Source organism: Homo sapiens, chromosome 2, assembly GCF_000001405.40.
Source record: "Homo sapiens chromosome 2, GRCh38.p14 Primary Assembly".
In the NCBI taxonomy this organism is placed as follows: Eukaryota; Metazoa; Chordata; class Mammalia; order Primates; family Hominidae; genus Homo; species Homo sapiens.
In genome coordinates this window covers 188,581,303-188,606,532 of record NC_000002.12, presented here as the reverse complement: position 1 = coordinate 188,606,532, position 25,230 = coordinate 188,581,303, and the positions used below count along the sequence as shown (strand labels likewise).

Genomic DNA, 25,230 nt, shown 5'->3' with positions numbered 1-25,230 from the left:
GGCTCGGGACCTGCAGCCCGCCATGCCTGAGCCTCCCACCCCCTCCATGGGCTCCTGTGCCGCCCGAACCTCCCCGACGAGCGCCACCCCCTGCTCCACTGCGCCCAGTCCCATCGACCACCCAAGGGCTGAGGAGTGCGGGGGCACGGTGCCGGACTGGCAGGCAGCTCCACCTGCAGCCCTGGTGCGGGATCCACTAGGTGAAGCCAGCTGGGCTTCTGAGTCTGGTGGGGAGGTGGAGAACCTTTATGTCTAGCTCAGGGATTGTAAATACACCAATCAGCACCCTGTGTCTAGCTCAGGGTTTGTGAATGCACCAATGGACACTCTGTATCTAGCTACTCTGGTGGGGCTTTGGAGAACCTTTGTGTCTAGCTGGGGGATTGTAAACGCACCAATCAGCGCCCTGTCAAAACAGACCACTGGGCTCTACCAATCAGCAGGATGTGGGTGGGGCCAGATAAGAATAAAAGCAGGCTGCCGGAGGAAGCAGTGGCAACCTGCTGGGGTCGTCTTCCATAGTGTGGCAGCTTTGTTCTTTTGCTCTGTGCTGTAACTCTTGCTACTGCTCACTGTTTGGGTCCACACTGCTTTTATGAGCTGTAACACTCACCGCAAAGGTCTGCAGCTTCACTCCTGAAGCCAGTGAGACCACGAGCTCACCAGGAGGAACGAACAACTCCAGATGCGCCACCTTAAGAGCTGTAACGCCTTAAGAGCTGTAACACCGCGAAAGTCTGCAGTTTCACTTCTGAGCCAGCGAGATGCGAACCCACCAGAAGGAAGAAACTCCAAACACATCCGAACATCAGAAGGAACAAACTCCAGATGCGCCACTGTAAGAGCTGTAACACTCACCGCGAGGGTATGCGGCTTCATTCTTGAAGTCAGTGAGACCAAGAACCCACCAATTCCGGACACATTACCACTTGTATATTTCTGAATCTACAGTTCTCTTCCAGGTTTTAGACTAAACATGCTTTTTCTTCTAGTGGTGGGCCTAAAGAAAAATGGGCGTTTCTCCAGTTAATTTTCTTATTCTTGTAGCTATATTTTTAAAAATGTTGAGTTCTGTGTTAATAAAAAAAAACCTGTAATCGGTAAGCATTTATCTCTCAAGTAGCTGGTAATATTTATAAAATAAACAGGAATTTCAGAACAGTTTTAGATTTACAGAAAAATCACAAAGATAGTACAGAGATCCCATATACCACACACATCTTCCCCTATATACCACACACATCTTCCCCTATTATTAGTATCTTTTTTTTAGTGCACTTGCCACAATTAATGAACTAATATTAATGCATCATTGACAAAAGTCTATAATTTATTGAGATTTCCTTAATGTTGCCTAATTTCCTTATCCTGTTCCAGGATTCCATCAGTATGTCATATTACATTTAGTAATCATGTCTTCTTAGGATCCTTTTTGCTGTGACAGTTTCTCAGACTAACTTAGATTTTAATGGCTTTGACAATTTTCAGTAGTACTAGTCAGCTTTTTTGCAGGATGTTCTTCTGTTGGGATGTGTCTGATCATTTTTTTTTTCTCATCATTATTAGCCTGGATTTATGGGTATTGGAGAGGAAGTCCTCAGAAGTAAAGTGTCATTTCATCATATCATGAGCATATACTATCACTGGGATTGATAGTTTATCAGGCTTCTCCACTGCAAAGTTAATTTTTTCTTCCCTTAGCATTGTACTCTTTTCACATTGTATTGGAATTGTCTATACATAGCCCATGCTTAAGGAGTGATGAGTCATGCTTCACCTCGTTGATAGCAAAAAGTATCACATAAATTATTTGTAATTCTTCTGTATGGAGTTGTACCTTTTCTCCTCTATTTATTCAACCACTTCTTTATCAATGTGAACTCATGGATTATTATTTTAAAACTTGGGTTATAAACCAATACTACTGTTTTGTTGTCCAGATTGTTCCATCTTTAGACAATGGAAGGTCTCTCAGTTGACTCCTGTGTTTCTTTGACATATCCTCATCATCCTATCATTTCTTCTGTTTCTTTTTTTTAAAAACAATCTCTTATTTTCAGACGCTACATGATGCTCCAAACTCATCTCATGTATTTCCTTCCCAAAACTTACAAACAGCCTATTTTCCAAAGAGCAGATTTGTTTCTTTTTTTCTGATCCCCACGTGTGAGAGTACCTGTTGCTCCACATCCTCACCAGCAATTTTCAGCGTTTTGAATTTTATCAAAATATTATTATACAACACGGAAGTTTTAATTAAGAAGGGACTAATATCATTAAGAATAGCCACTGTCCTAATATTTTATATTTTTTCTTCTGAGATTTGTTAATCCAAGTAAGTTGCCTCAAAGTCAATTTCAGAACATTTTAACATTCATTACTATGATAAACTCAACACATTATTATCACTGTAGTTGAATGTAATTTTTACTATAAAAAGAAGTGAGAACCAAAGTTACAACTAGTAAAGGAATATGGGTTAGCATACAGTATCTATAGGTTTTTTAAACATTTAACACAGAACATAATCCACAGTCTGTCACACAATAAAATTCATATTTGGCTAAACTTTATATCTCAGTAGAGAAATCTATTGTCCATTAAATTTAATAATAATAGTACCATGTATTTTACAATTATTTATAATTTACAGAACATTTGTATTCATTGGTTAATATTGACAATAACTTTGATTTTAATAATTTTTTAAAATTATTAAATAAATATTTTTCCTATGTATATTTTTTGAGATGGAGTTTCATTCTTGTTTCCCAGGCTGGAGTGGAATGATGTGATCTTGGCTCACGGGAACCTCCATCTCCTGGGTTCAAACGATTCTCCTGCCTCAGCCTCCCGGGTAGCTGGGATTACAGGCATGTACCACCAAGACTGGCTAATTACCTACTTAAACAAATGTTACCTTCTATTTCTTAGCATAAGAATTTTAAAAACAATTTTATTTTCTTATTTTCATCTGTCAAAAGTGTTTGTCTATAAAGTAATGTGGAATATTAGAGAAACAGAACTGTTTATTTCAATAGGAAAATATCTACGCATTGTGGATTTCAGGTTATTCACCTGAAAAAATGTTTATGCTGCAGTATTGCATCTATGGGCATGAAAATCATGATATGGGTAATCAGAAGTTTCTGTTAAATAACTTACATCATTTTATGTACATTGTGAAAAACCCTCGAGGGGGAGCAGGATAGTAAATCCCTTCATCATAGGACAAACAGATTATTTCTGCTCCACAAAATTAACTCAGTGAAAGATAATGCATAAAGTTTCCTGGCATTAATAATCCATATATAGAGCCAAATTAGTAGGTGATCAAAAAGAGCATCCTTACATAAGTAAAATAATTTTTTAAAAGTATCATGTATAGAAAATTAGCCTTGTGTAGCATTAAGAAATATATATATAAAGAGAAAATCATTTTGCAAATTTTTCTTTATAAAAATAACACAAAATGTTTAATGAAAACACACACACACACACACACACACACACACACACACACACACACACACAGAAAGAGAAAAAGTACATGGAAACTAAAAAAAGTTACATGTAAAGACCTCATTACAAATTAGTGAAAATATACATACTTCTTGCTCTTCAGGAAAATACTTTGTTAAACACACTGGTACTGGATTTATAACAATTAGTATGGTTAAGAAGTAGCATTAAAATAATAGTAATTCTCAACCAGAGATTGTATGTCAACCTAAAATGTACCTTACTTTAGTTTTTGTTTGTGTCTGAAATTTGAAGTTCATACAAACGTTTAAAAGATAGTTACCCTATCTGACTTTCATCCTGAATTTGTCTATAGTATTGCTATAAATATTAAATAGAAACCTTAAAAAAATCACACTTTTGTATATTCCTAATTGCCTTAGCTCTAGGTCATATTAATTCACAATTATGAAGTATCAAAAAAGTTAAGACTAACTTATGAAAATGCCTGGACAATTATGTAGTTTACAATGAGAAAAATGTTTCTGTTTTGTGAACTATGTATGCTGACATATATTCTACACAATGAAAGGTTTTCATATTTTATGAGCAAAATTCACTTAGGCAGCATAGATACATTCATCTGCAAACCCCAGCTTGATTAAATATATAACTGATGGTGCTTCCAACTGTCTTTCATTTGAGACCCTGTATCTAAGAAAAATGTAATTATGAAATGCTGTTTAAACTGTCTACTTTAAAACCACATTACTGTAGTTTGCTAATAACCCTTCTATATTATGCTGATCTGTAACTTTTAAAGCCACATTTTTAACTCAAGTAGTTGGCATAACTTCTATTGCAATGAATTTATTCTGGGAAGTCTGACTGCCATGATTAGTGGTTTGACTCCAGTATTTCCAGCTTACTGCACTAAGTTCCCACTGATGTACTTGTGGTTTCACATATACCAAAGAATATTCTATGATGAGTGCTGGATGGAAAAGATTGTTCATCTGACAATAATCTTTCTAGCCACATAGACATACCACAATCTCTATCAGTAATCTTAAATTTTGGCAGTCATGGATAAACACTATTCTTGCCAATATATATTCATTATTTATACAATTTTCCTTTGATGATTTTTCCTTTAGGAATTGAAATTTTTAAAGAATATGTGTCTAAATTGTTTTCAGAATGGATACTCCAAGCTGTTTTAATATTTGGCTTTGAGCAAATTCAAAATCACATTTCTAAAAACTTCAGTTCTGTACATATACTTATGGAGAGAGAGAGACTTCTTACTGGAAAGGGAGGATAGTCCTAGTGGAGAAGTAAGCAGGGTGCAGACATTTCAATTGCCCCGTCAGAGTATGTGCAGTTGAAGCACTTAAAAGGATTAGTAAAGGACAATTACTTGTTTTTTTCTTCCACTGTATACCCACTGAGGAGCATAGACTGCAGTTGGCACAAAAGGATCTCATCAGAGAAGTCTTTTAACATTAAGCGTCTGTCTTAAGTATTAAAAATGTGACTTCAGTTTCCCCCTTGAATACCATCACAGCTGACCTTTTGAAACAGAGCTGAAGTTTCTCTCTGCTTTAAATTGCTCATTCTCATGAAGAACAATGATGAATTAATGCATTTATTTTAATCTTGGTTGGCCTTTCTTAAGAGCAAGCACATTCCAAAATAACTCTCTCGTTCTTTAAATCCTAGTTACATTGTTTCATTTTACTACTCAAAATGAATTCATTATTATAATTTTCCTGCTAATTCTTAAAGGAAAAGATCACTGGTATTTGATGCAAGTTATTTATATGAAATAAAAATACTATTGAACAGACAAATAAAAATCAAAATGGTATAACACAGTTTTTTCTTTATCCCATTTGTTTTGTTTGTTATTAGAAATTTTGGTGCATAGCGTTTTTGAACATTTTTGTCCAATTTTCCTTTGACTTTCGAATTTTTAGTCGGGGAACAGTGCGGGAAACAATCTGGTTTTGATGGAATCCCAAATTTTTGTGAGTGTGTGTGTGTTCTAAATAAACTCAACTAGGTCATATGACTCATGTGCTTTCCATGGTCTCATTGACTTTATTTTCTGTCTAGAAACTATTTAATAAATCTTATTTGATCAGATCAATATTCTTTATTGCTTCTTTAACAAAACAAAGTTGAACTGTTTGTTAAGAAGAAAGTACTGTTTTAGGTTTCTTTCTTTTTGTAAATTATTTTCTAAAGAGTTGTAGAGTTTTGATCAATTTGCATAACATAATAAATACTTGAGCCCATTTGTGGTTTTCAGGGCCAGCTGTTTTCTCCAGCTCCAGCTCTATGATTAAGGATTAAGGGATGCAAAATGATGAGAAACCCACAGGGCAATTGCTGCCTTTGGAAGATTTAACGGCATGCTGAGGATTTTTATATTCTCTGCATTTCCCTTCCTTTACAGGTACAACAAACAAGAAAAACTTTACCAAAAAGGCCATTCAAAGAGTATTACTCAACATGTCAAAGGCAAGTTTTATTTGAATCTATTTCAAGAAAGTATTCTAATATTCATATTCACACACATTACAAAACCTAAGCACATACAGGCAGGTTCCTGAAAAACCCAGGTATAGGACAAATTCTCTGTGAATCTAAATATTTCTATCCATGTGAGTACATGTAAGAATACCTGTGTTTTGGTGTTTCGATGTAGTATTATCTTGTATGTTTCAGAATTTTTTTTCCAGCATTTTCAAGGTTTAATATTCACTTGGAAAGGGGGACCCTTGGAATTCTTTTGAGACGTACCTTATTCATCTTGAAGTCATCCTGAAGATGTGGCAGGCCATTAATACTTTTGTAGAGAAACACAGGCTCCATTTTTCCACTGTAAATATATGCTGAGGTCTGTCTTTAAATGTGTACCTAGGAGTAGGAAAGGTTGAGAAAGGAGAGAATGATATTTTTGCCCTGCATTCAACTTTGATTGTTATGAAGGGAAATATTTTACATAAAATATTTCTACAATAAGGAGATTCAAAGGCTAGAACAGTTTTGTCATCGCTCCTGTACTTTTTTTCAAGACTACTATTATCTCTAATTCTGAGCCAGGTACACTATTTACTTAGAAGTCATTGATTAATATTTATTTATAACTAGTAGGCAAGTTAAAGAATGTAAAATACATATTCTTCTGATAATTGTTTTTTAAATCTTAGGTTTATTTGGGGGAATTTCTTCCTTTCCTTATGCCAAGAATGGCTAATGCCTGTGAATGTCAGACATAAAACCCCATTACATGAATTTCCCAAAGTCAAAGAATGCTGAATTAATGCTGTAAGCAAAGCTGTAACATCAAAGCATAGAGTGTTAACGATTTTAGTTAGTTCCCTACAGATCAGGCTTTGTTCATTGTAAGGAATCTTTTTAAAAGTTACTTAAAAATTCAAGAGCTGTATGGTTTACAAATTTACGAACTCAAGTGATTCCAAGGAAGGAATATTTGTTTTTCTAATTGCCATTGGTGGCTGGAAGTCATGAAACAGTAACCAGCTTATTTTTAGCAATTTTTCTGTTTAATTCCTTTTATGTAGAAAACACAAAAACTGCAGGCATTATGAGGGAAGTAGGGGAGATTAAAGAGAAATCACTGTAGAAACAACTTTTCAGATAACTGCATCATTCTTTGTACTCCCTGGCCCGAAAATGGTTCAACTTGTCTGAAAAGTGAAGAGGTCAAATATGTGCACACAGCCACTTTGCCAAGTGTGGGTAAGTTGATATCTATGAAGATTTATGAGTATCCCCTCACTACCTGTCTCCTCCATTCCCTGTACTGTCTAGCCTGACTCAAGTTTATTTTTCTTTAGTTAAAGCAGCTACTAAGAATAAGATAAATAAAGAACTGAATAGTTAAATGGAGTGCGTGTGTGAGAGAGAAATTAGTATTTAATTAAAATGTAACAAAATCTATCTGTATATACTTCTGACACACAATTGCCTATTTATCTAATGATACTGATACTAAACAACTGATTTTGAAAAGTATATAAAAAATAAAAATAGACACAAAATATTGGAAAATAATAACAATTTTAAATGGGTTCTAGAATTATATGATCTTTTTCAAGCATGGTCCAGCCATAAAATTATTTTATTTTTTCCTTTCAAAATGTAGCCAAGAAACAAACATCTATCTTTGCTTTCTTTGCAGGAAAGAACCAGTGTCTGGACTAGTTCCAAGCCATCCAGACAGCTATTTCAACTGGAACAAGTGACCTTTGGAACTGACTAGAACATAACAGCCTGGCCAGACAGAGGGGAGGGAGTAGGCAGTTGGGAAGGACCCCAACATGTTCTTCTGAAAGCTCATTTGAAATAAGAGGACAATAAAAAGGACAGAAATATGAACTTAAAAATACATCAAACCAGTAAAAACTGTGTGACCACAATATGGGATTCAAGAAAAGTTACAGTTTGTGTTTTTAGCTGTCATTCTTTAATATACACGCTTAAATACTTCTCCAACCCCGTGAGCACAGGCCCTGTCCCTTAATTACATAACATTCATGTTTGAATCTTCATAGCCTCTTTGACACTAAGTAACCATTATTTTGTTTTTCCTCTATCAATTGGGCCAGACTTCCTTAGTCTATGATTCTATGGTGATTGTTAGACAAACTTCAATAATTACTAAGAGATTTATTTAGCAAATTATTGCTACAATAGAAGTTAAAATAATAGTAAATATTTTATTGAAAATGAGATAGTGGTTATCTTCTCCCAACATTTATTTGAAGGCATGTTGTTCTTTTCTAAGAGAACATACAAAATTTAAGTTCACATCATTGGCAAGAAGCATCTAAATAAATATGCAATCTTTTAATGAATGCTTATGGACAAAGTGTTGTGCTTGGTAACAAAGAGGAAGGATGTCAAGGCAATCCTTCCTTCAAAATGTTTGAAAAATGGAGAGCAAAGCTTTTTTAAAAATGCTTTATTAAAAATACAAAAAGAAAGCTGTTTCTTAGACAATGTGTTATTGATTTTTAGAAAATATATTAACTATCATAAGTTGATTATGTCCAAGGTACTGAGAAAATACTATGAGATTTCAGAGTGCTCTTTCACAGAGAACTTTGTTATTCCAGTGGGTACTGGAAAATACTTTTCAGAAGACAACTTCTATAGCTTCTAATCAGGCCTTCTTTAATGAAAATACAAACCTTTAAAAGTCTTAATGAATATTCCAAGGTGTCTATAGAATTGCTTGGAAACTAGAAGATTTGGTTCAATGAATTTGGCATGTAGATCTGAATGAATGCCAAAAATGTAGCTAAGGTAAAGGAAATAAATTTTTACAAAATTTGTGTTACATAGTCTTCGTGGTACTATTAACTGACAAAAAACACAATGTTAATGATATAGAAATAAGAAATTTGGTTATTTCAATTTATCATGTAATGTCAGAAAAATGAGAAATGAGCCTTTCAACTCAACTACTTCTTAAGTATGCCATTGGAATTGGCATAGTATTGATTAGAAGCTAAGAAGTAGAGCAGAAAAAAATGAATCCAGAGAAAGACAATGCTGTCTGCTACTTATGTAATGTTCATATTTCTTAAACTGTATTTCGAAAGCAAGAAAATAGACCATAAATGATTTTAGGAGGTGGCGTTCTTGCTAGATTAAGAAAATCCCACTTAGAATTCTAGAGAAATTATGCTTTTAGGGAGGGAGTTTCATTAGTGGATTATCACAGACCTTAACAACAAAAGATCAAAACATGAAATAAATGTACAAGAATTAAGGTTTGTGTCAAATTTGTGAGATGCACTTAGAAGGGTGAGATTTTAAATATTTGTCTGAAGTTATATAGGAAGAAGACATTTTCTGCATGAGACACAGGGGTCCAAGGGCAATTCCAACTGTGACCATCACATTTGTAAGTTCCCTATACAGGGTGTAGTTTAGGTGGAGTCTGAAATTCAGTTGTCAAAATTGACTCCAAGATTCTTCAAGTAATTTAACAGAGGATGAAGCCCAAAATCATGAGTAAATATTGAATCTGGAAGTATATGTGGAAACACTGGAATAGAAAAACATTAACAGCCAGTTTTTTCAGGGTTATGCTAAGTAACATAAAAACGAATAAAAAAATCAGTATTTAGAAATGCAACATATTATCTATCAGAAATCCTACTGAAAATACATTCCCATAATATTATTAAATTTTTTTAGAAAAATCCAAATCCAAAATAAAAGAACAAAAAGAGACGAAGAAAATTTTTGCCATTGGCCTGCTCTGATAAACTTCACACTGGATGACTGATACCTGACATCAGCTAGTACGAGGTACCCAGACTTAAACATACTTAAATACAAGTGTTCCTGAGGAAGTTTTTGGTTCACACAGTGTTGTGATACATATTCGCTTTTATTTATTCACTGATATGCTTCCCATACTTTTACTTTATGACAATAAACTGACTGAAATCAGAGATCCTGTCAATTTAATGCCACCTGCTAACACATCTGTTAGCAAACTTGCTAGATGTTTTCTTACCCCATAAAGTACATGTTATTCATATAAAGTGAGTAATAAATGAATTTTATTGAATGAATTGATGAATTGTTCCTTGGTGTTCAAAGGCTGTGCATGTGAGTCCCGTGTCCATAAAATACTTAACATCATGTTTTAAATTGATTCAAAACTTCTTCATGATTGCACTCTTAGTCATAATCCACATCCTATTATCAAGTTCCACCTTTATAAAACTATCAGCCAAGACACCCTTTTCATTACTGCTAAGTTAAAAAAAGCCTCCAGTTATGAAATTGATATTTACATAATACAGTTTTTGCACCAGATGCTTCTGGTAAAAGGAAGCAAATCATGACCTCTCTCACCAGCAGGATCAGTCCACTGTTTTCACAACTGAATGATATTTGCTCATAAAGCTAAAATGTGTGTGGGCTGCAAGAAATGAAGTTAAAGGTAAAGCCCTTTATTTCTTCTTTGCCTTTCCCTCTTCCTCCCTTTCTTTTATCTCCATTTATGATCAAGAAAATCTGTTACATAATTAGCTTCAGAATGTGTCTGTATTAATTAGAGATTATTTAACAAATGAATTATGCAATTTAATTTATTTAAAATCATTTATTTTCAGGAAAACCAAACATATCGTTGAGTTTACATAGAAATACAATTTTCAACCAGATCTTCATAAAAACGCACTGGAGAAATAAATGTTCATAATTAATGACCAGTTATGTACTATTTCATCATGCCAGTAGCAGAGTTGATTACCATTAAAAATTGGTAAAGTAACATATCTTAAATGTGCAAATACCATCTTAGTACTCCATTGTGTTACCATTGATAATAAATGGCCACTAAATATATACCTATTACATAAATCTTTTTAAAGTACAATAAAAATACAAATTCTATCTGTTAAAAAAAGCCACTTATATGGCTTCTAAACATCCTTATTATACAAATTCCAAAATACTATCTGACAAACAAAATTATAAAGACTCTTCTTTATGAAACATATATTGCCCTCTAATTAAGGTACAACTTAGCAGATAAAAGAAACTAAACAAGAAGGCTCATATATACCATATAACATTAAGGAAAAACACACAAATATATATTGCATAAGCATATTTGATTTCTTTTCCTAGTGAAAATGTACCTTTAACACTTGAAGAAAATTCCAATGAGTAAATGATAAATCTATTTTTGAGGGCTACCCCTACTCTAAGTCACATTTTCATTAATTTAATTTATTTATCTTATAATGTGATGAACCAAGTTAGAAATTTTGACCATAAATTTTTGTTTTACTGAGTACAAATTAGTCTGTTAGGTAAAGGGTAAAGGTATAGGAAACAAATATTTTTAAAAGTCCAGGTTCATCAGCACATCAATAATGAAATGCAAGAGAATTTTATTGCTCATGTTCAAGACTAAACTGAGCAGTAACTGGGTTTTTTTTTTTTTTTTGGAAAATGAGATTTTTGACTTTAACAAAACAAATACAGATTGAATTTACCAAATATTGATAATTCATGTAGAACGGGTGCCACAGATTTTAAAGTATCAAAACCAAGAGGGCATCACAAAATAAACTTTGGTGAAAAATATCTTCATCAAAGAAGAAAATATGAGAAGAGTAGTCCTTATGCAGTGAGGAGAAATATATTTGGTAAAGTAAATATGGGTAGTAGATACTGAATCTATAGATAGCATATATTCCAAATGTTTTTTAGGGAATATCAAATCAGATGATGCTTAGATGTTATAGTAATATCACTTATCTCATTTGGAATGAAATTTAATGTTTTTTAATAAATAGCAAATTTTCATTTTTTCACTACCTTTATAAAACAAATTAAATATTTAGAGTATAACTGATCATAACTAACATCACCTTGCATTTACTAATAAATACTCTAAATACATTTGGTTTATTATTGGAATTTATATCCTTATAATTTTACCTGCTAGAAATTAGTGACCTTGTGGCATTATGTTTAAAGTTTACATTTTCCCAGTGATGTGAACAGTATTTATACATAAAATGATATCTGTCCAATGAATAGTAACATGTTTGTTGGTTTAAAAACAGAACATGTTTAGTTTGACATTGGCATGTCTCTTCAGAATTTAAAAAGTTATCTTTAAGGTATGGCTTTTGGGAAATCATTAATAAACTAGCCATCTGGAAAATGAATACAAATTTCAAGATGCTAACTAAATAGAACTCAGACACAAGGCAGGTATTTGTATAATATGTCTTTCAATTACAAATTCATCTACAGTAGAAACAGAAAGGAACATAAAAGTATGATCTACTTTACAGTAAGCTGTTTTTAAAATAAAAATTACAGATCAATAGTGAAGGTGAGGAAATTTAACTGAGAAAATTTTCAAAATATTAAAATATTCAAAAACATTGACACATGAATAATACCTATCTTAAAGTAATAATAATAAATGACATGTGTATACAAACACATTTAACATGAATCAGGATTTCTTGTTCTTGATGTCAGCACCTACTGTCTAACGGGTCGAGACAAAATACTGTGCCTTCAAGAGTTAGTCCCATTTTGAACCCCTCCTGTAAAACAGAATAAAATAATTAATATCTGAAATGCTTACAGCAAAATAAAATCAGTGAATAAAAAAGACTATGCACTAAAGTTGAAATATTCATGCTTTGATCAACTAATAAATAACTATATGTCAAATGTTGACTTGCTGAATTTTTATATAGGTGTATAGCACTGGTAGTTCTTTCAGACCCATTAACACTTTAATGTTTTAAATCTATGTGAGGTTAGCATGCATGAGAGACAGAAGAGAAAACATAAAATTAAGATAAAGGTTTCTTTTTCAGAAAAGGCTAGTTACTACATCATTCTATTGTAAATGAAATCTGTTAGCTTTAAAAATTATTATTAATTTAAATATTATTAAGATAGTTAGGCTTCAAATTGATGAGAGGTTCAAGATAGCCTGATGATTTTCACCTTATTCCTGGTTAGCACTGACCAGAGCCCGGGTAAAATACTTCTTTTAAATGCAATGCCGTATCCTCTGTGGAACACACAACTGCAGATTACTTTGCCATGGAGAAAACTTCCCCTACTAGCCTTGCTGTTGCTTGTAGCGGACTGGCTTCTTTGACTCCTACTCTTCCTTGCATATTTTAGAAGTTAAGTTGTCTATGATTTATTGAGTATAAGAACACAATTGCTAAGAAAGTGTTTTTCCACCAAGATTTTGAATTAAAATAATGGCATAGGAGTCTGTCCTCCTTCACTCCAATCTCTTTTTTTTTTATTGCATAAGATAATTGAACTGTGGGCCATCTCCAGTCTTGCCACCTCTCCCCATTCCTACCCTTTCCTGTAAATCTATACACATTGGCCTACAAAAAGATGAAAAGCACAGACTTGCACTGATCAATGAAAGTGGAGGTTACATTGTAGGTCTCCTTGTAGAAGCAAATGTGGTAGTGCTCTCTACATACTCTACCTTTTTTTTCTTACTAACAGAACTGAAATGTTTCAGAAAGGTAATTTGTAATTTGGAGTGGCCATGCAACACATTATTGGCAAATAATATGCAGATAGCAGTGTATTCCTAAAGAAAACAAAATGTCTCCTAAAGGTAACCATTGGTTTTCACCTCTGCTTTGGGTGTTTTATTTAATTGGACTGACTATATCTACTTGTATGTTAGCTAATTGGGTATCTTTTTGCATCTCTCCAAATTACTTTTATTTAGAATAATTATGTAAATGTTCTTATCTTTCTATAAATCCAATGTAAACATCATCATATAGAGGAGGAAGGTAGTTACAAAGCTGTAAGCCATACTTTATTTGTTATTAATGTTCAAAGAATATTCTTTATGTTTACAGCACAGAGACTACTACTATATAGCAATTACAGTGATGTAATCATTGTGAAAGTTTTTCAAAATGTCTTTCCAGTACTTGGAATACAATCTTTATTTAGTTGAGTAAATATGAGACTACTTATCATTATTTTTTAAAAATCTATTCTTATCACAAAATACATTTTGCCATATTTATTTATATTTTTCAAACAGCCAGCAAATACTTAGAAAAATAAATACTTTAAACTAAAATACTGTAAGTAAACTTTTCTTTAAAATTATTTTATTTGGATATCTGAAGATCTGTATATTATGTCATCTTCTGGTATATTACAAATGGTAAATAGATGATACATTGATAGATAATGACAGATAGAAAGAGAGTTACATGTGGAAATGTTTGATACCATACGGTACTTTTAAATTTTATCAGTTCATTCTGCTAGTAAACCAGTATCACTTCAATTACCCTGAAAATACTATTTGTCAATGTGTTATCAATATTGGAAAAGCAGAATAGCAGCCAAAGTAAAACAGAGGTCAATCACTATTTTAATAATAAAGTGTTAGTATATGACTTACAATAATATCTATCTCCATATTGACTTTTTAAGGATCCTTACATATTATAAGGTTTCTTGATTTTCTTTCTTCCTCAGATAAAATTTCCCACACCTGTTGAGCTTCAAACTTCTTAATAAAAATGAGACTTTATTTACTTATGTAGTGATGGGAATTATCATAAGCTAACGTCACACAAAAGAATGATTAAATAATTAAAGTATTATTCACCATATGCTTTTTATACGAAAGATTTTGATGAATTTTCTTATTTTGAAATAGAAAAGCATATCAAGGAAAGAAAAATCACTACATTTTGAGGTATGTCTTTTTTTCTATCTATACATTTTTAAAAATGATTTTAATGATAATATGAATATATATTTATGCCATATAATTTTCTTATGTAAGTAATATATTACATATAGTTTTCTATCTTCCTCTTTTCATCTTTGCAGACCCTGATTATTTTAAATTCCCACAAAACTAATTTATTATGACTATATAAAATGCTATTAATTTTTATGATTGTTTCCATCGTAAAAATGCATTTTACGTTGATTTGAAAAAAAATCGTTCAGCATTTTAAAATTATGAATAATGTTGACTAGGTATTTTTATTCGCAGAGATTGAACACATTCATACTTATTTTTTCATCAGAATAGATTGCTTTAAAGTTTTGATATCAAACAGAAATAAAAGTATTAATAACAAGCTACCCTTTAAAGAGACTGCTAGGCCATAGTTACCTCTGAACTAACTCTGGACTGCCAACAATTTACAGTGCTTGTTTTATCACACTTTCAGTTGTATTGATTGATTATTAGTTTAAAAAATAATCTGCTAGATTAAAATAGCATTACAGTTCTTTATTTGATTTATATGTTTACTTTGATTAGACAGAACATGTCTACATATGTGTAAGCCACTTGTGGTCTTCTTTTGTGAACTAGTGCTTTTTTATTTATCTGTTGATTCTTTAGTTTCCTAGCCATTTGTCTAATTGCTTTAATTATGTATATGTAATGTATTTATATATTTTTAGACAGTAAATTTTAAAAAATTGGATACTATATGTCCGTATTTTTCTTTTCCTTATAAAATTTTCTTTTCAATTCAAAAGTCTGATGAATATTCAATAATATTTTAAATATTTTAAAATGTTGATTACTTCTGAAATTTATCTCGGCATTTGCTGTAAGTTTCAGCAGTACATTGATCTTCTCCCAGAGTACTAGCTAGCTGACTTAACACCACTCATACATGATTCTTTCATCATTCATGAACTTGCCATGCTTGTTTTTTAATGTATTAAATTATTATAGCTCACATGTTACAGTGTGGGCTATCAATACTATTCCACTTATTTTCCTGTTGGTGACATGTACTGGACAGTTTAAATTATGTCAAATCAAATAGCTACATTATTGATTTCAAATAGATGTTTAATTTTCTAACTGCTTATACTGAAATATGGTCTAACATTTCTGCATAAATGCTTACATGCATGAGATGTTTCTGTGATTTCAAACTTAATAATTCGATTCTCTTAAAAATAGCTTAGTCACAATACTCTGTAAATGAAAGATGAAAACTAAATGTCTCACTAGGCTTATTAACTCAATATGGTGTTCACAACCCATTGTACTATATTAAGTTTTTATATGATATGCAAAGATAGCTAAATGTCTGCATTAGATTCATTAGGCTAGCACGATTAATAATAAAAGCCATCATAGACTTTAGATGAAGAAAATATTATTTTACTTTTGTTAAAGTGACCTTGCAAGTAAATATTGGACTAAAAGAAACAATCATGGCCAAGTATGGTGGCTCATGCCTGTGGTCCAAGCACTTTGGGAGGTCTAAGTGGGTAGATCGCTTGAGCCCAGCAGTTCAAGCCCAGTCTGGACAACATGATGAAACCCTGTTTTTAACAAAAAATACAAAAATTAGCCACGCGTGGTAGTGCACACTTGTAGTCTCAGCTACTCAGGAAGCTGAGGAGGGAAGATTGCTTGAGCCCGGGCGGTGGAGGTTGCAGTGAGCCAAGATCATGCCACTGCACTCCAGCTTGGGTAGGGCGATAGAGTGAGACTCTGCCTCAAAAAAAAAAAGAAAAGAAAGGAAACAATGAAGTGAACAATGCAATAGTGACTAAGTCACTGAAAAATAATCTTAAAATGTGGTTTATAAAACCTCTCTAAACATAACTAATTATCAGATATACCCATATGAAGCTGTTGTTTGAATTTTTATTAAATAAGGCATGCAAATTTTAAGGTTTCAGCTTTAAAAATTTGTAAGTTGTTTAAAATTATTATAAAAATAATATACCAACCATCTCTGGCGCTACCCACCATGAAAGCAGTAAAGAATTTAAAAAGACATTAAGAAAATATTAGAAACAGCAAAAGCAAAAACACCACGGTTTAACATTGAGTGTCACCATCACTCAATCATCCCAATACATTGTGTCTCACACTTGGTTTCAACAAAATCTGGAAATAGAGGCTTATCCTTAAAACTCCATAATTTTTTTTCCAATTTTGGGAAAATCTAAAAAATTTTTAGAGAAGTACTCTGTATGACCTGTGCAACCCTTGAGAATAAATACTACCACATAAATATTTCTTTGTTACTACAAAAGCATTAGTACCAGATAGTACATGTCCAATGGGTAAAACTAATGTAAAAGAAAAGGAATTGATTTCATATGAAATACAGCATTCTTGCTAAATTATCATGCGCCATTTGAAAGTTTCATAGCGTTTGAAATATAGAAAAGAACTAGGAAATCTGTGCCATCAGATAGAATACATGTTGAAATCAATAGAAATTTGATAAGGTGGTTTTAGCTTTAACCAAATAAGATCATCCGTCCTGTATTGGTGTTGCAATTTGGCTTTCATTTAATTTATAATTTATTGAATTCATAATTTTATAAAAACCATAAGGACAAGTTGTTTATAACATTTTTGTCAATATTTAAAAATTGTAAGTTAATACTAAGGATCTAAAACAATTTTTATGTAAAAGGGGATTAAGAATCATTCAACTTGAGAAACACTGTTTTAATAGATTCTTTGAAAACCTCAAGACATATGTTAAGTAATTCAACTTTTAAATTCAGGCATGTTATTACATCTAGAACAATAATGAATTCATGTACTACCTAGAAAATAAGATAGCTACACAGCTGCAGTCAAAAATGAGTAAAAGGGCATTTAAATTAACTTTCTAAGAAGGATTGCAATTATCAGTGATAGATCAGTGTTCACCCATAATTGTTTTTTCTAGGAAGTGAGGCATAGAGAATTAATGTATTAACCCAAGACTAATAAACAAAAATACCTCCTTCTCCTTACTTTAGTGTCTTCATTGTCTCTTCTCAATCAGCTTCATATAATTGGTGTCTGTCTGGATTCTACCATATATAAACTTTTTGATGAAAAATAGGATATAATAACTTCACCAAAATGTAAAGGGCAAATATAAAGAGAAGACTTTATTCTAGGGTTTATAAGACTATTTTTAAATCATGGCCCATAGTGCAAAGCATTTAAAACCAATTTCTGTAAACTTCAGACCAATTTAGAACAAAAAAGTAAAAGGAAGAGAGAGAAATGAAAACCCAACTGAACTACATTCCTAAATAAGTTGTCACTGGTTGTTTGCTTTTTAAATAAAAGCCCAAAAGTTATGAACTACAGCTACAATGCTTCTTTTCAGAGAGAATAATTTCACTCTTACAAAGATTTTCCTTCATCTACCCATTTACAATTTTCAAATTCATAATTGTTAAGACTGAGATCAAATCTTATAAATCTAATGCAGTGACTGTTTAACTCTAGATTTCAGAACAATGAACCATTAGAATCCATGCCATTTTGTATTTAAAAAATGAACCATCTTATTGACATTATAAATTGAACCATTTAAAAAACCAACAACCTTATCCTTAGCATATGTAGGAGTATTTTTAGGACTAACTGTACATTATTATTTTAAAGTAATTATTTTAAGCGAGTTTTTATAGCGAAAATAATTGAAGGAAACCATAGTTTTGGTACATAACATTCTCTTTGTCCCATATCAAAATGAAATAAATCATTTATGGGCCAGTCTATCAAAATAGTCACCTGCATCTCATCTAATTTTGATTGAATATCTGGAGGGAAATCTGCTGCTCCACAGTTAAATGGGTCAAAAGGTTCTGCTCCAAACAGGTCCCGTTCTGCAAGGAAGGAAATAATTTAGTAAATGAAATAACAAGAAGTGAGCTGGAGTTAGTTAGATTTCAAAGGCAGGATTATATAAATGAATATTTACATGATCAAATAAGCCACTAACCCACACTTACACTGTATGTTGGGCTTTCCTGACCTTAGACCAGTTAAACATTAACAAGGAAGAAAAGATCCATTTTATGATATTAAAAAGTTTTATTATAAAGAATTATTATCTAGAGAGGTTTCTGTGTTTTAGTGAAGATTTCTTAATGTCAAATTCACCAAAGAGCTGATAATTGTATGTTACAACACCTATATTTTATTGAAGCAATTTAAATTTGCTAAAATTAATGCACTACTCATTGAGACTACCCTAATTCCATTGATTGATGCCTTGCAACACAATAGTAAAGCAATATGTAGGACTAAGTAGACTTGTAAGTAGCTCTACTCAAAGTTCATGTACTCTTATCTCTCCTTTTATTCAGAGAAAATTTTAAAGCACATTGTCTCATGTAGTATGAAATGTCACCTTTCTAGATAGTCACAATGAGATAGTTTCTTTAAAAATGCCTCCTATCCCAGAAATACATTTCTTTTTTAAAAGCAGCAGGAATGCAATGTCAAAAAAGCTTTCTGTACATATGTTCTAAAGTATGCACTACTTTTTTATCACTAAAGAAGTATCAAAGTTAAAATTGATGTTTGTAATTGATAGATTACGGCCTATTATGGGATTTTTAAAATAAAAAATTCTTAAGAAATTTCTTTCCTCTGAATCAATTCAAATGTATCCTTAATTGGAAAAACATTACACTATATATGAAAATTAGTATTTATAACATATTCATACCTTCATTTTGCAGAGAACTTTACATTCTCTAAATTCAATTCTATGTAAGAAATACATAGGTAACTAACCTGCACAATGTGCACATGTACCCTAAAACTTAAAGTATAATAAAAAAATTAAAAAATTAAAAAATTAAAAAAGAAATAATATTTATGCTACTTGATTTCTGCCATATCCTCTAAAATCACTCTGTGATTCTCATTGTGAAGGAGTCTTACTTTTCCAGTTTTCATGTTTTTTCCCAGATTCTTGTATTAAATAAGTTAATAAATGTGAAATTCTTACAAGCTCCTTGTACTTGCAGGTATTGTATAAATAAGGAGAACATATAATTTATCATCCAAATACAGATGCTTTTAAAACTAAAAGGAGCATTTCCAATAGTTACACTGGGTAAAAATCTATAAGCCAGGGCTATCCTAATCAAATGGGAATTTATTGTTACCTTATATATAACTGATGAATATTACTATTGCTGTTATTTATTTTCCTCAGTTTAGTGTTGCTCAGGCAATCAATCAAAATTTAGATTTCAGAGGATCTTTTCTCTGGAGAAATGTCCTGGTTTCCACTACACCATAAGCATACTGAATAATGTTTTTCACCTAGTAGGTGTTTGTTAAAAAATGAATTAATGAAAGGGAAGATTTGGTGAAAAGGTTCTGCTTCAAACATGTCCCGTTGTAAAAGGAAGTAAAAATTTAGTAAACGAAATGACAAGAAGTGACTTGGAGTGACTCACTTATATAGATTATGTCTATATAATCTCTATTTCTCTGTCTATATTTATCAAACTTTGATACTCAGGAATATTTAGACACTGAAAAATCTATCAAGGTGTTACTGGAGCACTCTTGTTACACTTCAGCAAAGAGACTAGCAGTGTTTTACCCCTGCCCTAGAGATCTGTGGAACTTTGAACTTGAGAGAGATGATTTAGGGTATCTGGCAGAAGAAATTTCTAAGCAGCAAAGCATTCAAGATGTGACCTGGCTTTTTCTAAAAGCATACAGTCATATGCATTCACAAAGAAATAATTTGAAATTAGAACTTACGTTTAAAAAGGAAGCAGAGCAAAAAGTTTGGAAAATATGCAGCCCGACTATGTGGTAGAAAAAGAAAACCCATTTTCTGAGGAGAAATTCAAGCCTCTTGCAGAAATTTGCATAAGTAAAAAGGAGCTGAATGTTAATAGCCAAGACAATGGGGAAGATGTCACCAGCACATGTCAGACATCTGCGGCAGCCCCTCCCATCAAAGGTCCAGAGGCCTAAGAGGAAAAAATGGTTTCGTGGGCCAAGCCCAGGGCCCTGCTGCTCTGTGCAACCTCAGGACTTGATGTCCTGCATCCCAGCCACTCCAGCTCTAGCCATGGCTAAAAGGGGCCAAGATACAGCTCAAGCCATTGCTTCATGGGGTAAAAGCCCTAAGCCTTGGTGGCTTCCCTGTGGTGTTGGGCCTGCAGGTGCACAGAAGACAAGAGTTGAGCTTTGGGAGCCTCTGCCTAGATTTCGGAGGATGTATGGAAACGCCTGAATGTTCAGGCAGAAGTCTGTGGCAGGAGCAGAGCCCTCATGGAGAACCTCTACTAGGGCAATGCAGAGGAGAAATGTAGGGTTAAAGCCCCCACACAGAGTCCCCACTGGGGCACTGCCTAGTGGAGCTGTGAGAAGAGGGCCACTGTCTTTCAGACCCCCGAATGGTAGATCCACCAACAGCTTGCACTGTGTGCCTGTCACTCAATGCCAGCCTGTGAAAACAGCTATGGGGGCTGTACCCTGCAGAGCCACAGAGGTGGAGCTGCCCAAGGCCTTGGGGTCCATCCCTTGCATTAGCATGCCCTGGATGTGACACATGGAGTAAAATGAGATAATTTTGGAGCTTTAAGATTTAATGACTGCCCCACCGGGTTTCAAACTTGCAAGGGGCCTGTGGCTCCTTCGCTTTGCCAATTTCTCCAATTTGGAATGGAAACGTTCACCCAATGCCTGTATGCTCATTGTATTTTACAAGTAACTAACTTGCTTTTTATTTTACAGGCTTATAGGTGTTTTCTAATTCATCAAAAAGAGACTTTAATATTCCTTCCAGATATATAAAAGATAAAACAGAAAAGCAATGAATTTATAGCATTTTAGATAGGAAAGAACCCTTACAAAAGGTTAAGAAATCATGATATAATTTATATATTTTTTAACAAAAAAGTCCATAAACCCTATGATAACAAAAATATTTTAACCAGCTCTATTAAACATGTAAAAAATGATCAATTTAATTACCACCAGTTATTTTTAAAAGTTAAAGTAAAATATTAAAAATATAACCCAAAACAGTGATATATAATTAAATATGAAGTAATACACCAAAACATAATTGTTCACACAATAGGTAAAAGTTGCAAGCAGAGATGTCATTAGTAGTGTAGTCTGAATTATAAAGTAAAATAGAATTAATGGAAATTTATACAAATATAAAAATAATACTTTAATAATTAAAATTGTAAGTAAGGTTGTTAAGATATGTAATTTCCCACAAAGTCTTAATTATATATTTAAAATGTATGCAACTATAACAAGAAACTTTGATTTGTTGAGAAAGCTTACTAATCTCAGTAGATCTACTAGGTACTGGAGGTGGCTGTGTGCCATTGCGAGTAGGCATCGAAGACTGGTGTGATATTGGAGAAAATGGAATCATATCAAAGATGTCAGTGGAGGGCGACTTAGGTGTCATACTGCCTGCCTGCAATGAAAATAAATGAATTAGGGTAATATTTCATATAGACACATTGTAATGCTAAATATTTCATATGCATATAAAATATATGTAAACAACAATTTCAGTTGCATCATAAGAATTTGCCATTTTGTAGACCAAAAATAGTTAAGTATTCGCAATTTCATATGGTTCCACTAATTATGATAAATGCTCATTTAGAAGAAAGCAATAGAAAATTTCTGTAAAAATGCTCTCAAAGATGATGGCAAAAACGGTGACAATATTATTCCAGATGAATATAAAAGATACAGTGAATTTTTGGGATATATAGAAATGACTGCTACTTGTAACAGAGAATTAGATATATTAGAAACTATTCATGTAAAAATATGATTTCAGTAAGATACGCTGCATAAGATTACATTTTAAACTGGAATAATTAGACATAAGTGACCTGCCTTCTTAAATATAAACATTCAAATGCAATTGATTTTTTTTGCATTCTCAAAAGTAGAGTATATTTTAGTTTGTATTTATATCAACAATGGGAACCAACTGATATTCATTGCAGTACATTTTACTCCTGAAAGATTTCATCAAGTTTTCTGTAATAAATAGCAATCTTATAAACTAAATTAATAATCGCCAGTGTACTGCCCAAATCATTGAGTTTTCTGATACAGTCTGGGCCAGGACTGAACACATATAGGGAAAGATAAATGAAAATCTCATGAAAATGTAGCCAAGAAGTAATATCAAAATTAGACATTTATCACTTTGTAAAACAGGGAACAATATGTATATATGTATAATCTCCTTTGAAAACCATCTGATTTGATCAGGGATAAAAGAGAATTTCCATTTTGGGGGAATAGTGGCGAAAAATTTGCTTTTCCTGTGAGAACTTGGACAGAGATTGCTTCCAGTAGTTCATATTAAAATTAGAATTCTCAGAATACGTTTAATTTTCTGATTCACAGGTAGTGCAGGTGATGAAAAAATCAGGCTTATTGTGTGTAGAGAATGATGGGTTTGCTATTCAGCTAAAATAATTGCTAGTACATTATTTTTCATGCAGGAAAATTGCTGTCATCCCCCTTTCTTTAACAATTTGTTTATTGTATCCCCTCACCCCTTTACTGTTACTCAGCAATACCATTCCCCTAATTATCCCATTCCTGTATCCCCTCTCACTTCTATATCTCTACTCTTTTTCACGATACAAAAATTCTAAAATCTTGGCTGTCATTAAAAGCAAAACAAATCAATCAAAAATTTATTTACTCTGTCCCTCTTTAATCTTCCAGCCTCTATTCTGTTTTTCTTTTTCCTTCAAGGCTAAGCTCCTTGAAAGAGATACTACACTTTCTGTCCTAAGATTTACTTCATTCTATCTTTAACTCTTATCAATCTAGATTTGTTCTTTTTGCACTGAACTCTGCTGAAATTGCTCTTACCAATGATCTAATTTCCCAACTGCAACATCTGATAGATCCTTTGAAGTATCTGTATGTAAATTTCTACACTGTCACCACCCTCTACTTGAAACTTTCTGGTATCAGGTAATCAAAGAAAACAACAATGGCACACAAAGGCTCCAGATCACATCACATTGACTCAAGATACATCTAAATTTTTGATAACTTTACAAATAGCACATTTTGGCAGAATTTAAGCAAAATAAGTGGGATAATAAAAAAGAATTATCTGCTTAGCAAATTACATGAGGTCTTGGGATGCTGCTCTCACTGACTGGCTTGGGAAAGCCACATTTAGAAGGTGGTGGTATTAACAGTCCCAGTGATAGTCTGGAATCAGGCGAGTTGATAGGAGTGACAGAGATGGAAGAAATATTGAGACAGGGAGATGAATCACCATTACTACGCCAGAAAGAGGATGAGCATCTCTGAAACACATGTTGTTCATGATCAGACATATTGTGCAGCAGCTGTAAAGGAATGACAGAAAAAGAAATATCCTAAGAGGGCAGGCATGGAGGAAAGGAGAAAGTATACTTGAAATTTATTTGTAAAATGGTGTTTTGTTAAGATGATAAGATCATTTCACAGTAACTTTTCTAAAATTAAAACATAGAGTTAGAGTTGATTTTCCTATGTGATAGTCCTTAGATTCTGGATTGCTTAATTTGATCTTTTTTTTACTGAAATATTACATTTTTTGGTATTTTAAATAGAATATTGCATTCATCGGGACCTAAGAGGAAGGTAATGGAGAGAAACATGAAGAAAGCCTGAAGATTTATTTTGGAGAGGGCTTCTGTAATGAAATGGAAAAAGGAAGGATAGTAATGAGAGAACAGTTACAGAACTAGGAGTAAACTCTTGTACATAAAGTTATGGTTGTGTAGAATTTTCAAAAGGGATTACAACATACATTTTATATTTAATCCTCAAAACATTATTTGAAGTATCAGTAGTAGTGATATTATGTCCTTATTACAATAAATACATGGGAATTAAGGTCCACAGATTCTTTGTGACTTGTATGAGGTAGAAAGCAGATTCAAAATTCAAAACAGTCTGACTCTAGTCATCATGCCCTTTCTATAGTCATGAGGAGCTCCAAATTGTAAGACTTTTTGGGTGATGGGAAGAGGTGATTGACAAGGATCTCAAATAAATCAGAGAGATAATGAATAACAAGCAAGCAGTGTACTAGGTCTGAACATCAGTATGTGCATGACTTTTAGGGGCTATTTCCATTACAACATGGAAAGCTACTGTTAAGAGCTGAGCTGGAGAGAGCTGAGCTGCCAGATGTCACAGTGGCCAATTAAACAGCAGCCAAAATGGAAGTAATAATTAAGTCTTTATTCATTTACTGCTATAGTATAAGCAAGAGGCCAGAGAGAAGGTGCCTGCTCCATCAATGCTCCATTTTCCCCAAGGAATGGCACTTGAGCAAGGGTCAGATGTATCACTGCAGAAGTGAGGCTTTGTCTCATTACTTAGGGACTCCTGAACAA

General features: G+C 32.9%; 1 protein-coding gene and 1 long non-coding RNA gene across 70 annotated transcripts in view; one reads left to right on the top strand and one right to left on the bottom strand.

Moving 5' to 3' along the window:
* The first annotated feature begins 494 nt into the window (after nucleotides 1-494).
* LOC124906107 (uncharacterized) lies at nucleotides 495-8,836 on the top strand. The gene is made up of 2 exons (XR_007087590.1): nucleotides 495-7,233; nucleotides 7,676-8,836. It is a non-coding gene; the product is annotated as an uncharacterized LOC124906107 (long non-coding RNA).
* A 1,770-nt stretch (nucleotides 8,837-10,606) lies between these two features.
* The window catches only part of GULP1 (GULP PTB domain containing engulfment adaptor 1), a 304,053-nt gene continuing 289,429 nt past the window's right edge, over nucleotides 10,607-25,230 (bottom strand). For 18 of the 69 annotated variants that reach the window (NR_164745.1, NM_001375929.1, NM_001375930.1 and 15 more), the window contains 3 exons: nucleotides 22,130-22,268; nucleotides 18,584-18,678; nucleotides 10,607-12,593 (listed from right to left, as the gene is read on the bottom strand). Coding sequence is in view for 67 of the 69 variants with exons in the window: in NM_001375929.1 (NP_001362858.1) it covers nucleotides 12,522-12,593; nucleotides 18,584-18,678; nucleotides 22,130-22,268 (306 nt within the window). In the remaining 2 variants the exon portion in view is untranslated. Of the gene's footprint in view, nucleotides 12,594-16,782; nucleotides 17,883-17,923; nucleotides 18,679-22,129; nucleotides 22,269-23,967; nucleotides 24,193-25,230 lie in introns of those variants that run through there. The other 51 variants (NM_001375936.1, NM_001375941.1, NM_001375933.1 and 48 more) reach the window with 10 other exon arrangements.